We start from the raw sequence: 16,874 nt of genomic DNA, 5'->3' as shown, positions 1-16,874 counted from the left end.
TGGAAACTAAACATTGGGTACACATGACATAAAAAAGGGAACAATAGGCCGGGCGTGATGGCTCACGCCTGTAAACCCAGCACTTTGGGAGGCCAAGGCAGGTGTATCACTTGAGGTCAGGAGTTCAACTCCAGCCCGGCCCACATAGTGAAACCCCATCTCTACTGAAAATACAAAAAATTGGCCGGGCGTGGTGACAGGTGTCTGTAATCCCAGCTACTCAGGAGGCTGACGCAGGAGAATCACTTGAATCCAGGAATTTGAGGCTGCAGTGAACTATGATTGCACTGCTGCACTCCAGCCTGCGTGACAGAGCAAGACCCTGTCTAAAATAAAATAAAATAATGCGAGGTGCTAGAAAGTCTCTGCTTCCATCCTCACATCTCCTTCTCTGACCTAGACTCTCCTGTCTCCTCTCTTGCCCCTCATAAGGATACTGGTGATTATATTGGGCCACCCAGATCAGCCCGAGTCATCTCCCCATCCCAACTTAATCACATCTGCAAAGTCCCTTTTGCCCTGTGACATAGTCACAGGATGTGGGGACCAGGAGATGGACATCCTTGGAGGTGGGAGAAGGGAAGTACATTCTTCTGCCTATCAAAGGGAAGGGACAGAGAAAGTCAAGGTCAGCCAGCAGCTCAGGTTGGGTGGAAGTCCTCTGATATCTGCATAGCCTCCCACCTGATCTCCAGTTTCTGCTTTGGTGCTCCCGGACCATTCTCCACCCAGCAGCTGGAGTGGTTTTCTTAATCCAAAGATCAGATCTTGCTGCTGCTCTGCTGTCCACCCTCCAAGGCCTTCCCCTGGCTCAGAATAAAACCCCAACTTCCAGGCCGGGCGTGGTGGCTCACGCCTGTAATCCCAGCACTTTGGGAGGCTGAGGTGGGCAGATCATTTGAAGTCAGGAGTTTGAGACCAGCCTGACCAACATGGTGAAACCCCATCTCTACTAAAAAATACAAAAAAAAAAAATAAGCCGGACATGGTGTCACACGCCTGTAATCTCAGCTACTAGGGAGGCTGAGGCAGGAGAATCGCTTGAACCCAAGAGGCGGAGGTTGCAGTAAGCAGAGATTTTGCCACTGCACCTCCAGCCTGGGCAACAGAGCAAGACTCCATCTCAAAAAACAAACAAACAAACAAACAAACAAAAAACTTCCAACTACAAGGTTGTTCAGCATCAACTCCCATGACCCCATGGCCCAACACCCTCCCTCTTGTTCACCATGCTCCAGCCACTCCGTCTTTCTTCCTGTTCCTCCAACATGCAATACTCCTTCCCACCCCAGGCCCTTTGCACCTGCCTTTTCTGCTGTCTGAACCACTCCTCCCGCTCATCTTCCACCTGTAGTAACTTCTCATACTGCGGGTCCCTGCTCACAGAGCCCTGCCCAGATCGCCTTATCCAAAGGAGTTCCTTTTATACCTGTTACATTCTAGCACATCACATTATTTTATTTATTTTATTTTACTTTATTTTAGACAGGGTCTTGCTCTGTCACACAGGCTGGAATACAGTGGTGCAATCACAGTTCACTGCAGCCCCAAATTCCTGGATTCAAGTGATCCTCCTGCCTCAGCCTCCCGAGTAACTGGGACTACAGGCGTGCACCACCACACCTGGCTAATTTTTTTTTAGTAAAGACAGGGTCTTGCTATGTTGCCCAGTCTGGTCTCAAGCTCCTGGCCTCAAGTGATACTCCTGCCTCAGCCTCCCAAAGTACTGGGATTACAAGCACGAGCCACTACATCCAGCCCATTTTATTTTCTTCCTAGCATTTATCGCTATCTCAAATTATCTCAATTATTGTATTTACTTGCTTATTTTCTGTCTGTCATGAAGGTAAGCTCCATGAGACCAGAAATGTCATCTGTCTCCTGTATACCAAGGGCCTGGGACAGTGCCTGCTAAGTAACAAGTGCTTGTAAGTTGCTGTATCAAGTCATATAGGTGTTATTATTAGCCCTGTGTTACAGAGGAGAAAACTGGGATGCAAAGAAATTCTATGACTTGTTCACCTCCTATAGCTATGGATTAGCATTCAGAGCTGCTATAACCAAGTACCACAGACTGTGGGGCTTAAACAACAGACATTTATCGGCTTACAGTGCAGGAGGCCAGATGTCCAAAATCAAGGTATTGGCAGGGTTGGTTCCTTCTGCGGGCTGTAAAGGAAAATCGCATTCAAGGCCTCTCTCCTTGGACTGTAGATTGTCATCTTCTCTCTCTCTGTCTCTCTCTCTCTCTCTCTCGACCTCATCTTCCCTCTGTGTCTGTCTGTGTCCAAATTTCCCCTTATCGTAAGGACGCCAGTGACCCTCCAAGGCCTTCCCCTCACTCGGAATGAAACCCAAACTTCCAGGCCAAGCGCCCGGAATATGAACTTCCAGTTGTATTGGATTAGGGCCACCCTCATGACCTCTCTTCATCTTGATGACCTCTGTAAAGACCCTCTCTCCAAATAAGGTCACATTCTGAGGTACCAGGGGTTAGAATGTCAACATATACATTTGGGAAGAATGTGTCTCCATCCATTTTCTGTTGCTTATAACAGAAGACCTGAAACTGGGTAATTTATAAAGAAAAAGAATTTTTTTTTTTTTTACAGTTACGGAGTCTGGGAGTCCATAGGTCAAGGGAGCACACGTGGTGAGGGCCTTCCTGCTGGTGGGGGACCCTTTGCAGAGTCCCCAGGCAGCACAGGGCATCCCGTGGTGAGCGGGCTGAGCTGCTCACTTGCTAATTCAGGTCTCTCTTCCTCTTCTTATAAAGCCACTAGTTCCACTCCCATGATAATCCGTTAACCCATTAACCCATTAATCCATAAGTGGATTAACCCATTCATGAAGGCAGAGCCTTCGTGATCTCATCACCTCTTAAAGGCCCCACCTCTCAATACCATCACATTGGGGATTAAGTTTCAACATGAGTTTCGGAGGTGGGGTAAATATCCAAACCACAGCAGAAGGGTTACCATTCAACCCCTAACAAGCTGGTATGTGGCAGAGGTAGGATTCAAGCCCAGCTCTGTCTACTATGACATGACTGCAAGAGAGATTCAAGTGACGGTTGTGGACAATGACATTGGCGGCCCCCAAATGGGCCCCCTTGTGTGGTCCCCTCCCACACTGACGTGGCTTGGCCATGGGATTTGCTTCAGCCAATAGGACGTTTGCACGTAGGAGGCCAGCAGATTTGCTCTGAGGATTGGCCTGTTGGACCACTCTCTCTTGGAACCCAGCCATCATGGCCTAAAGAAGTCCACCAACCCTACTGGAGAGAAGTTCACTTGAAAAGAGGGCCCTAGAGCATGAGAGATGAGCTTGGATATTCCAGCCCTAGTGGATGCCATGGGAACCACAGATAAGCCCTGTGCCAATCACACAGTCAGGAGCAAATCAGTGGTTGTATTTTAAGCCACCGCATTTTGGAGTAGTTTACGATGCAGCGTTGGCAACTCAAACAGTGATCTGTGCTACTGTGAATTTCTATCATCAGCTGATGTTTTTTTTTTTTTTTTTTTTTTTTTTGAGACGGAGTCTCACTTTGTTGCCCAGGCTGGAGTATAGTGGTGCGATCGCTGCTCACTGCAACCTCCGCCTTCCGGGTTCAGGTGATTGTCCTGCCTCAGCCTCCCGAGTAGCTGGGATTACAGATAAGCAACACCATACCCGGCTAATTTGTGTATTTTTAGTAGAGACAGGGTTTCACCATGTTAGCCAGGCTGGTCTTGAACTCCTGACCTCAAATGGTCCACCTGCCTCAGCCTCCCAAAATGCTGGGATTACAGCCACCAGCTGTTATTTAGACCTTTCGGACTCCAAGCAACTTCAGCCACAAGCATACTGTGATTTGCTTGTTTTCAATGTTGTCTGTGAGGTTGTTTAATAAGGAATGGGCTTGCTTCCATTCTTTTTGGAATAGGGCAAAGAATGAATGAACAATTGAATGAATTAATAAACAAATATATGTTCATACACACTGTAAGTAATATTACTAATCCTTAGAAGAGATATGTTCTCAGACGCCTTTAAGAATTTGCCCCATGTCATGTCTCAGAACCCAGGAATCTGTCTGTCTCTGGGGAGCCCTGGGCAGTGTAGAGATTGTGCATTCAAAAATTTGTCAGAGGAGGCTGGGCGCTGTGGCTCACACCTGTAATCTCAGCACTTTGGGAGGCCGAGGCAAGAGGATCACTTGAGACCAGGAGTTAGATGCCAGCCTGGGCAACTTAGTGAGACCCTATCCCTACAAAAAATTTAAAAATTAGAAGGACATGATGGCGCACACCTTTAGTCCCATCTACTCTGGAGGCTGAGGTAGGAGGATCACTGGAGCCCAAGTTTGAGGTTGTAGTGAGCTATGATTGCACCACTGCGCTCCAGCCTGGGCAACAGAGACAGACTCTGTCTCTAAGAAAAGAAAAAAGATGATCAGGGGTACCATTACTTCTTCCACTCAATCCCGTCTACTCATTTATAACAAAGCCCAAAGCATAGACACGCCAAAGACAGTGAAGATTTTTTTTTAAATGAGGTGTCTGACCAGAGACAGATGTAAAGGTCAGGACAAAGACAGACGTCTCCCCCAAGTGGAAATCCGGGGAAATGCAGTCTAAGAGAAGAAGAGGGAGCCTCCAAATTCACCACTGAATGAGACCTGAAAGCGGAGTTGGAGGGGGAATGTCACGACCTAGGTCATGGATGCACACTCGGCCCTCCTGGGTCAGGCAGGGATGGGCATTTGGGAGGCAGGTTGGGTGTGGGGACAGGGAGTGTAGGGACCTGGCGGCAGCCACCACCACCACTCAGCTGAAACTCTGGGCTCTGCAGGATGTTGAGGTCTTGGCTTCCAGAGGAAAAAACATTTCCACCAGGGACACAGAAAATATCCCATTAAATCTCACGCTGCAGCTGCCACCTGGTCTCTTTGTACGCTTCACGGTGGGAAAGATGAGCAGGCAAAGAAAGGAGCCTCTGTCCTGGGAGGAGGAATGAGCTCCACCCTCAGGAGGAGGGAGGGCCGTCTGGGGTCAGGGAAGATGTTTAGCCCTCGGGTGATTTCACCTGGGCATTTCTAGTCGCCCGTCTTTTTTTTTTTTTTTTTTTAAAGAGAGAGACAGCATCTCACTGTGTTACATAGGTGGTGTTCAGTGGTGCCATCATAGCTCACTACAGCCTCCCACTCCTGGGCTCAAGTGATCTTCCCGCCTCAGCTTCCCAAGTAGCTGGGACCACAGGTGCACACCACCCTGCCCAGCTAATTTTTAATTTTTTTTTTTTTAACAGAGACAAGGTCTCACTATGTTACCCAGGCTGGTCTCAAACTCCAGACCTTAACTGATCCTCCCATCCCGGACTCCCAAAGCGCTGGGATTACAGACATGAGCCACCGCACCCAGCCTCTGGCTCACTTTTGATGGGAAGTGGTCACACGCAACAGCCACAGCCTGAGAAGGGAGGGGATGATGACCAGGGGCTCAGGACCCTCAGCAACGAAGGTCTTGATCAGCCCCTGGGTGAACCACTGAGGTCAGCAGGGGGCACGGCCAAGGGCAAGGGGAGCAAGAGTGAGTAACAGAGAATGGAGACAATGAATACCTGCTGGTGGCCAAGTCCCTTCCCAGCCTCTTCCTTTCAGGAAGCAGGTGAGCAGACTCAGCCAGGGTCTGCAGCCGCTTTGATGTGAGGCATGAAGGCTCAGCCCCCCTTCCCCAGTGTGGGGCAACTCTACGAGGCCAGCTCCAGAGCTTCTGGGAAGGCAATGCAGCCCAACCTGTCCCTCTGCCCAGTGCTGCCTCCTCCCACCCTGGATGCTGATCCCGAGAGCACTCCCAAAACCTTTCCCATGTGCCAGTCTCCACCTCAGAGCCTGCTTCCCAAGGTGCCCACCTGCACCACCAGCTGTATTCCTGGGGAGCAGCTCCGGCAGGTGGCTTTCTCATGCCCGACTCCAATTCCGCTTACTGGGCACACACCGATCCCCTCTTGCTTCACCTGGATCCCCCAGATATTTCTTGTTATCAACTGAATGTTTGTGTCCCCCTAAATTCATATGTTGAAGCCCTCATCCCCAATGGGATGGTATTAGGAGGTGGGGCCTTAGAGAGGTGATTAGGTTTAGAAGAGCTCATGAGAGCAGGGCCCCCACGATGGGATTAGTGCCCTTATAAGAAACAAAACAAAGCTCTCTGGCATGCGCTCGCACTCTCTTTCTCTCTCTCTTCTGTGTGTGTGTGTGTGTGTGTGTGTGTGTGTGTGTGTGTGGAGATATATATATATATATATATATATATAATCTCCCCACCATATCACTATCCAGCAAGAAGGCAGCCGTCTACAGCCAAGAAGAGAGCCCTTCCCAGAACCCACCCATGCTGGCACCTTGATTTTGAATTTCCAGCCTCCAAGAAATAAATGTGCTTGTTTAAGCCACCCATTCTATGGTATTTTGTTATAGCAGCCAGAGCTGGCTGAGACACCTTGTCATGCAATTGTCCTGCCTCATAAGGATCTCTGAAGTCTGGAGGTCACCACCATCTCCCACATCTACCCCTACAGCCACTCTTCACCCCCATACAGAGGGCAGAGGGAGATAAATTGCCTTCCCCGGAGACACAGGCTGCTCTCAGGTAGAGCAAGCCCTTCCCTCACCCGGCACTTCTCTCTACCCTGTTTGGGCCCCGTCCTCTAGCGAACAACTGAGGGAAGTGGGATGGGTTAAGAAGGACAAAGTTTATGGGCGATGAAGAAGACAAAAGCCAATGTGGATTTTTTTTTTTTTTTTTTTTTGAGTCAGGAAAGAAAGTTCATCAAATCCGCAGGAAGGTCTGAAAAGGTACTCTTGCGTCTCTACCACCACCCCCACCATTACCATGCAGGTGGGGCTGCCTTGCTGTGCCTACTGCCCCAGGGCTGACCACAGTCAACTCACCTGCTCAGCCACTGCTCCCCTAGCCAGAGGGGCTGAGTACAGAGGGCCTCCCACCCTCAGCCACCCCCTGTGTCAGAAGAGATCTTCCCACTAAAGAAAAATCCCAGCCCTGGCCAGGCGCGGTGGCTCATGCATGTAATCCCAACACTTTGGGAGGCTGAAGTGGGTAGATCACCTGAAGCCAGGAGTTCGAGACCAGCCTGGCCAACATAGTGAAACCTTGCCACTACTAAAAATACAAAAATTAGCTGGCCGTGGTGGCACACGCCTGTAATCCCGGCTACTCGGGAGGCTGAGGCAGGAGGATCGCTTGAACCCAGGAGGTGAAGGTTGCAGCGAGCCGAGATTGCACCACTGCACTCCAGCCTGGGTGACAGAGCAAGATTGTCTCAAAAAAAAAAAAAAAAAAAAAAACAAAGAAAAGTCCCAGCCCTGACACTAAGTCCAGGACACAAGCTCAGACTCCAGTTTCACTGAAGATTATTCCAATACATCAGAGAAGTTCTGATCTCTGTCCTGATTCGTTCGGGCTTCTATAACAAAATTCTTTATTTGACTGAGTAATTTTTTTATTTTTTTGAAACATTCTCACTCTGTTGCCCAGACTGGAGTGCAGTGGCACAATCTTGGCTCACTGCAACCTCTGCCTCCTGGATTCAAGCGATTCTCCTGCCTCAGCCTCCTGAATAGCTGGGATTACAGGCACCCACCACCACACCAGGCTAATTTTGTATTTTTAGCAGAGATGGGATTTCACACGTTGGCCAGGCTGGTCTCCAACTCCTAACCTCAAGTGATCCTTCCATGCCGGCCTCCCAAAGTGCTGGGATTACAGGTGTGAGCCACTGCGCCCAGCCAAGACTGAGTAATTTAGAAATGATAGAGATGTCTTGCTCACAGCTCTGGGTGGGGAGTCTAAGATCCAGGCGCTGGCAGATTCCATGTCTAGTGAGGGCCTCCTTGCTGGTTCACAGATGCCGTCCTCTCACTGTGTCACCTACAGGGTGAAAACAGGGCTAAAAAACTTTCTGGGGTCTCCTTTACAAGAGGTCTAATCCCACTCATGATTCTGGAAGTCCTCTCATATATTTTTACCAAACTCCTTGATGTTTAATTAACCAGAGCCCATTTCTGTTGCTTGCAAACAAGAACCCAGAGTAATACAGAGCCCTTTCCTGCCCAAATACCTGAATGGGTAGGGGTCTGGAAACTTCCAGGCACATGGTAGATGCTCAATGTGTGCACATCGAATGGATAAGAACACAATGGCCACCCTCAAGACTTAATTACTTCCCAAAGGCCCCACTTTCTGATACCTTGGGGTTAGGATTTTTTTTTTTTTTTGAGACAGTCTCCTGTGGCCCAGGCTAGAGTGCAGTGGTGTGATCACAGCTCACTGCAGCCTCGAAATCCTGGGCTCAAGTGATCCTCCTGCCTCAGCCCCTCCTGAGTAGCTGGGACCACAGGTGCGCTCCACCATGCCTGTCTAATTTTTTAGTTTTTTTTTTTTTTTGGTAGAGACGGGGTTGCTGCCCAGGCTGGTCTCAAGTTCCTGGGCTCAGGTGATCCTCCCACCTCCACCTCCCGGAGTGCTGGGATTACAGGCATTAGCCACACCCGGCTATTATGTCGTTATCCATTCGATGTGCATACATTGAGCACCTACCACGTGCCTGGAAGTTTCCAGACCCCTATCCATTCAGGTATTTGGGCAGGAAAGGGCTCTGTATTGCTCTGGGTTCTTGTTTGCAAGCAACAGAAATGGGCTCTGGTTAATTAAACAGTCAAGGAGTTTGGTAAAAATATATGAGAGGACTTCCAGAATCATCTGTACTCAGTGGGGCCAGGAGAGTGGAGGATGGAGCCTGTGAGGGCAGGGGCCCTGGCATTGGGGGCAGCAACAGGATGGAAGAACTGCCCCGATCCCCTGTCCCGGTTTCCTCCTGCATGGCAGCCACCCTGGCTAGCAACGGACAATTTCCTCTGCCCTGTCCTCCTCTTTCCTCTTCCAGCTCCCAGTGTCTTCCCTAGCCCTGACTCACTGCGCCATCCCTGCCCTCCTCTCCCCACCATTATATAACTGTCCCCTGTCCCAGGGGCCCTTATGTAACTCGAGTCACCTCAGGCTCCCTTCCCCACCTCGCAGCTCCCACCTCAGCCTGCCCTGTCTGGTACAATCTTTCACAGTTGGCTGGGCCAAGCCCTCAGTAAGAAATGTGAAAACAGAGAGAGAGAGGAGGAGGAGGAGGAGGAGGAAGAGGACTCTCCCCTTCCCAGCAGTGGGACAGAACAGAGACAAGGTCCAACTGGCAGGAGGACCTCTAGAGGAGGCTCTTCTGCACACGAAGCCCAGGCCCATGGCCTCTGTCAGGGGACTTGAGCAACTCCCTGTGCCTCGATTTGCACTTCTGTAAAATGGGGATATAGTACACATTATAGGATTGTCATGAGAATCAGAAAGTTTATTTGTATGCGTGTGTGTGTATACAAAGTGTTTAGAACAGTGCCTGGGCCGGGCATGGTGGCTCATGTCTGTAATCTCAACACTTCGGGAGGCCGAGGTGGGCAGATCACAAGGTCAGGAGTTCGAGACCAGCCTGGCCAATATGGTGACACCACATCTCTACTAAAAACACAAAAATTAGCCAAGCATAGTGGCATGCACCTGTAGTCCCAGCTACTCGGGAGGCTGAGGCAGAAGAATCACTTGAACCTGGGAGGCAGAGGTTGCAGTGAGCTGAGATTGCGCCACTGCACTCCAGCCTGGGTGACAACGCAAGACTCCATCTCAAAAAAAAACAAAAAAAGAACAGTGCCTGGCAAACTGTAAATGCTATATAACTGTTTGTTACTCTTTTGTACTCTTTTGGAGAGATGGTTCTAAATAATTGTTCCTTGAGTGGTGGTTTTCAATCTTCATGGTCTTGGGACACTTTCACACTCTTCAAACTGATAAATTGGTGGAAGACCCCCAAAGAGCTTCTGTTTAGGTATATGCCAATACTTTATATCCCGCTTCAGACAGAGTCAGTGCCCAGTAGAGATTAAGAGCTATTGTTCTTATTTAAAAGGACTTGGAGGCCAGGCATGGTGACTCACACCTGTAATCCCAGCACTTTAGGAGGCCAAGACCAGTGGATTGCTTGAGGTCAGAAGTTCAAGACCAACCTGGCCAACATGGTGAAACTCAGTCTGTACTAAAAATACAAAAAATTAGCCAGGTGTGGTGGTGCACACCTGTAATCCTAACTACTCAGGAGGCTGAGGCACAAGAATCACTTGAACCTGAGAGGAGGTGGAGTTTGCAGTGAGCTGAGATCACGCCACTGCCCTCCAGCCTGGGTGACCCAGTGAGAGTCCATCTCAAAAAACTAAATAAATAAATAAAATTAAAGGACTTGGAGGAGGTAATATTAGTAGGTAAGTACCGAGTAAATACCTACCAATATTCACCCTATTTCAAATTAAAGCCAAGGAAATTTAAAAATATTCATACAATAAACCTATTACATGTTAACATAAAAGCTTTTTTATGAAGAATAACTGTATTTTCTAAAGGAAAAAGCCATTAGTGTCAGGCCTCTGAGCCCAAGCTAATCCACTGTATCCCCTGCGACCTGCACCTATATGTCCAGATGGCCTGAAGCAAGTAAAGAATCACAAAAGAAGTGAAAATGGCCGGTTCCTGCCTTAACTGATGACATTCTACCATTGTGATTTGTTCCTGCCCCACCTTAACTGAGCGATTAACCTTGTGAAATTCCTTCTCCTGGCCACCTTGTGACCCCCGCCCCTGCCTGCCAAAGAACAACCCCCTTTGACTAATTTTCCTTTACCTACCCAAACCCTATAAAATGGCCCCACCCCTATCTCCCTTCACTGACTCTTTTCGGACTCAGCCCGCCTACACCCAGGTGATTAAAAAGTTTTACTGCTCACACAAAGCCTGTTTGGTGGTCTTTCACATGGACGTGCGTGAAAATTAGTGAGAAGCACAGCAATAGTTTACATTTTTGAGAACCTCCGAAATATCTGACTTAATAGAGGACAGCGGGACTGTCACGCCTGCTCCCGCCATCGGCCTGTTGCAACATCACATCTCCAAAAGCCACTGGGAAACTCCACTGTACACTCGTGAGAGAATGACGGTAAAAGCGGAAAATAAGGTCTTAGTGCTATTATGCAAACAGTTTTGATCCTGCAGACCTCCAGAGAGGTTCTCTGGACAACACTTCAAGAACCACTTGGTACATTGAGGAAAGAGAGTAGAAAGAAACAGGCATATTTTCATGTTTTCACCGCATTCGTACTCACCAAAGGAATAACGAGTAACTGGAGATCAGGTTTGCTTTCTTGATCCAAATCTCCTTCAAGCCCTTTTAAATTAAAACCACAACACCTGACCCCTCCCGGGCACTGGCTGAGTCCAGTTGGTTGCGTCTCACTCAGCTCTAACAGGTGGAGACTATTAAGAGCCCTTCATCTCACAGATGCAGAAACCAAGATGCAGAAAAACTAAGTGATTTCTCTAAGATGACATGGCCACCCGGAGATTCTATCCTCAGTGTTTCTGACATCTCCTCCCACCCTGTTTAGCAATGGTCTGAGCCTGCTTCAGCCTCCAGACCCAGTGATTCTCACTTAATTGAATTGGTCCAGGAGAGGACCCAGGCACCTAATTTTTTTTTTTTTTTTTTTTTTTTTGACTCAGGTGATTCTCATGAGCAGCCAGGACTGAGAAGAACTGGGCCAAGGTCTTGCCACTGAGAGTGAGGTCCTGGGTCTGACAGCCCAGCTGGGAGCTTTTGGGGGTACGAATCCTCTCCCACCCTCTGAACCAGAGTGTTCATGTGGACAAGAGCCTGGTGATTTGGAAGTACATCACAGTGTCATAAGGAAAAACTAAGAGAAAGTGAAGCTGATCAGAGGATTCCTGCCCGGGGGTAAAACAGCAGGATGGGGCAGTGGTTACAGCCTGGGCTCTGGGGCTGGCACATCCAGGCCCTGCCTCCACCCTTTCTCTTAAAGTGGATCCCACATCACTCTAAGCTTCATAACCGAGTAAAGATAAATGGTCCAACATTTCTTAAACCTCCACCAGGAAGTTCATAGACGCCTATAAATAAATAACCTAGAATTGCAACCATTCAAATCATTCTTTGTTTTACATAGGGGTAGAGGCTTGAGTTTGTCTTTGGGGGGGACAGACAGTTCCTTTGTTTTGGGGACACAGCAAGGGAACTTCTAGTAGTGAAATGACAAAGCAGAAACCTTTTTTTGTTGTTGTTGTTTTAGACCGAGTCTCACTCTGTTGCCGAGGCTGGAGCGCAGTGGCGTGATCTCGGCTCACTGCAACCTCTGCCTCTCAGGTTCAAGCGATTCTCCTGCCTCAGCCTCCATTGTAGCTGGGATTACAGGCATGTGACACCATGCCCAGCTAATTTTTTTGTATTTGTAGTAGAGACAGGGTTTCACCATGTTGGCCACGCTGGTCTCGAACTCCTGACCTCAGGCTATCTGCCCACCTCGGCCTCCCAAAGGGTAAAGCAGAAACCTTCTATGAAGATAGAGAGCTGCTTCTGTGACAGATTTGCGTCAGGAGAAAAGGAGGGGAGGGGAGAAGGGAAAGGGGCCACACACTTTCTATCTGGCCCTGGGATTGGGTTTGATCCCCCTGAGATAGTGGTGACTCAGAAGCTCAGAAGCTACCCTTACAGGTGGCTGGGTAGGGCAGTGGACATGTGTGCCACCAGCTCAAGCCCCTGCTCCTTCAACTCTCAGGAAGGTCACTTGGGGCAGACACTGAGGTTTCCTGCCTCAAGCACCTTTCCCTCACCCTCCTTCTTTACTGAGTCTCTTGGTGCCAAGAGCTCACTTCTCAGCCTCCTTTGTACTAGGGGAAGCGAGGTGATTCAGTTCTGACCAAGGAAATATAAGGGTAATTCTGCACCTGGGGTGAGAAGTAGGGCAGTTCTAGGAATGATTTTCTTTCTGATTAACAGGGAGACTCACAAGAAGAGCTCTCTTCCCTGGACAGCTTCTTTCCCATACTGGAGATTGTCAAGTGAAGATGTGATGTTTGGTGCCATGGCAGCTATCTTGTGACCATGAGGTCCCAAGCAGAGGACAGCTGATCAGAAGACTACTAGAAAGACACTGGGCCCCTGTTTACATTGTTGAGCAATGGACCAACTGTGAGATCACTCACATCCCGACTTATTGTTGTGTGATAACAAACATCCCTATTGTGTAGGCCGTAACAATTGTCCTGCTGCTTAAATGTTTCCTGACAGCTTTGGGGGCTTTGGGAGAGTGTCCCCATGGCAGCCTTGCAGGGGACCAATGGGGCCATGATGAGGCTACTCCAAGCAATCTTGCGTACTCACAGACAAGAACCTGTAGGAAGAGAGGGTGGCAGTCACATTTTGACTGCAACTGACACACTGGTTTGTGGATGTCTATGGGGACACCCCATTGGGGACTCCCAGAAACAACTGAAGAGCACTTTGCCACTGTGAATGAATTTTCTTTTCTTTTTTCTTTTCTTTTCTTTTCTTTCTTTCTTTCTTTCTTTTTTTTTTTTTTTTTTTTTGACAAGGTCTTGCTCTGTCACTCAGGCTGGAATGCAGTGGTGTGATCACAGCTCACTGCAGCCTCAACCTCCTAGACTCAAACAACCCTCCCACCTCAGCCTCCAGAGTAGCTGGGACTACAGGCACATGCTACCACACCTGGTTACAAATTTTTTGTAGAGATGGGAGTTTTGCTCTGTTGCCCAGGCTGGTCTTGAACTCCATGGCTTAAGTGATCCTCCCACCTCAGCCTCTAAAAGTGCTGGGATTGCAGGTGTGAGCCGCTGTACCCAGCCTGAATTTTCTAACACATAATGGGCAGTTACAGTTACAGACTGAGGGCATTAAAAGCAGCAATCCATTGGTGATGCCTGTCATGGGCACAAAATAGTGGAATGGTGGCAATGGTGTGTTCCACATTTGTTTACTCAGTGCTCCTGGCTGCTCACCCCAAAGATGCTTCCAGAAATGCCAACAGCCTGAAGTGTCCCCCATTGCTGCTCTAAGGAGAACATCAAGTGCTGGAGTCTCAGGGGAGCCTGGGAACCTTCTCAGCCTAGCCAAGCAAAGTATGTAGGTAGGAAGTTGATATGGTTTGAATATTTGTCCACGTTAAATTTCATGTTGAAATGTGATTCCCGGTGTTGGAGGTGTCTGGGTCATGTGGATGTATCCCTCATGAGTGGCTCACAGTAGTGAGTGGGTTCTCTCTCTGTTAGTTCACACAAGAGCTGGCTGATTAGAGGAGCCCGGCATCTCTCTGGCTCTCTCTCTCTCGCCATGTGACACACCAGCTCCCCATTCGCCTTCTGCCATGAGCAAAAGCTTCCCGAGGCCTCCCCAGAGGCCGAGCAGATGCTGGGGTCAAACGTGTACAGCCTGCAGAACTGTGAGCTAATACATCTCTTTTCTTTATAAATTACCCAGTCCCAGCCACATGTGGTGGCTCACACCTGTAATCCCAGCACTTTGGGAGGCCGAGGCGGGTGGATCACCTGAGGTCAGGAGTTCGAGACTAGCCTGGCCAACATGGTGAAACCCCATGTCTACTAAAAATACAAAAACTTAGCTGGGCATGGTGGCGTATGCAATAGCTTGTAGTCCCAGCTATTTGGGAGGCTGAAGCAGGACAATCGCTTGGGGAACCCAGGAGATGGAGGTTGCAGTGAGCCGAGATCATGCCATTGCACTCCAGCCTGGGAGACAGAGCAAGACTCCATCTCAAAAACAAACAAACAAACAAACAAACAAAAAACTACCCAGCCTCAGGTATTCCTTCATAGCAATACAAAATGGACTAAGACAGAGGTCCTTCCACAGTGCCCTGTCCTAACCCCCCTCACACTCTACCGAGAAGGTCAACCTCCTCCATTGACATGGAGCATCCTGAGTGCAAGATCACACCATATCCATCTAGGGACCACCAACGGGATCAGGCACAGAGCCTGGCACTGAAGAGACCCTGCTGAGGTCCCATGGTCAGGCACTGGGATCACAGTGGAAAGTGAGAAGACCATGGGTAACTGGGTTTGAGTCCTGCCTCTGACACATACAGCTGTGAGACCAAGGGAAAGTCCCTCAACCTTCCCAAGCCTCATTTTACCACATGCGACACAGACACCAACCTCAGAAGGTTCTGTTGTTCAGGCAAGATGATTCATGGAAATCGACTTTGACAACTCCAAAGCCCTGAGTGCCACATTCCTTTAGGAGATGTTCTGCTTATTAGCAGAGACAAGAGGATGATCATGAAAGGTCTGGACACAGAATAGACATACTTGAAAGGGGAAAGCAAAGCTGGAATTCAATTATTCTTTTTTTTATTTTCTTAAAAAAAATTTTTTTTTTTTGAGATGGAGTCTTGCACTGTTGCCCAGGCTGGAGTGTAGTGGCATGATCACAGCTCAATGCAGCCTCGACCTCCCGGGCTTAAGCGATTCTCCCGCCTCAGCCTCCTGAGTAGCTAGGACTACAGGTGCACGCCACTATGCCTGGCTAATTTTTAATGTTTTGTAGAGACAGGTCTCCCTATGCTGCTCAGGCTGGTCTCAAACTCCCTGGCCTCAAGCAATCCTGCTAACTTGACCTCCCAAAGTTAACTATTCTTTTAGTAAACAAATATTCGATGAGCCATGCCCTGTGCCACGCACTGGATGCCAGGATAAACAATAGACATAGTTCTTGTCCTCATCAAGCTTAAGGATATGCTATGCATACAGTAGCCACATGTGGTTATTGATTATTTATTTACTTATTTATTTATTTTAAGAGACAGAGTCTCACTCTGTCACCCAGGCTGGAGAGCATGGGTGCAATTATAGCTCACTGCAGCCTCAAACTCCTGGCCTCAAGAAATCCTCCCACCTCAGTTTCCCAAAGTGCTGGATTATAGACATGAGTCATCATGCATGTCCAGCCTAAATTTAAATCAATTAAAAATAAATAAAACTGAGGCCGGGCTCGGTGGCTCACGCCTGTAATCCCAGCACTTGGGGAGGCCTGGGCAGGTGGGTCACCTGAGGTCGGGAATTCGAGACCAGACTGACCAACATGGTGAAACCCCATCTCTACTAAAAATACGAAAATTAGCCAGGCATGGTGGTGGACGCCTGTAATCCCAGCTACTCAGGAGGCTGAGGCAGGAGAATCACTTGAACCCAGGAGGTGGAGATTGCAGTGAGCCGAGATAGCGCCATTGTACTCCAGACTGGGTGACAGTGACTCCATCTAAAAAAAAACAAACAAACAAAAACTGAAAGTTCAATCCTGTAGTCATACAAGTCACATATAAAGTGCCTAGTGGGCACATGTTTAGCGGCTGCCATTATCAGACAGTGTAGATTGGACGGCACAGCACTGAGATACAGTCTTGTAGGGGAGACAGACACCAAGCAGAGAGCCATGCAAATATCTAATTACACACTGATATGGTTTGGCTGTGTCCCCACCCAAATCTCATCTTGAATTGTAGCTCCCATAATCCCTACATGTCATGGGAGGGACCTGGAGGGAGGTAATTGAATCATGGGGGTGGGTTTTTCCCATGCTGTTCTCATGATAGTGAATAAGTCTCACAAGATCTGATGGTTTAATAAAGGGCAGTTCCCCTGCACATGCACTCTTGCCTGCCACCATATAGCCACCATATAAGACGTGACTTTGCTCCTCTTTTGCCTTCTACCATGATTGTGAGGCCTACCCAGCCATGTGGAGCTTTGAGTCCATTAAATCTCTTTTTCTTTATAAATTACCCAGTCTTGGGTATTTCTTCATAGCAGTATGAAATTAATACACATACCATGACATTTGTCAGTGGGAAGCCATGGGCAGTGCACTGACCATTTCTCAGGTGAGGAATAGAGCCA

Source organism: Homo sapiens, chromosome 16, assembly GCF_000001405.40.
Source record: "Homo sapiens chromosome 16, GRCh38.p14 Primary Assembly".
NCBI classification, from domain to species: domain Eukaryota; kingdom Metazoa; phylum Chordata; class Mammalia; order Primates; family Hominidae; genus Homo; species Homo sapiens.
This window is presented reverse-complemented; position numbering follows the sequence as displayed.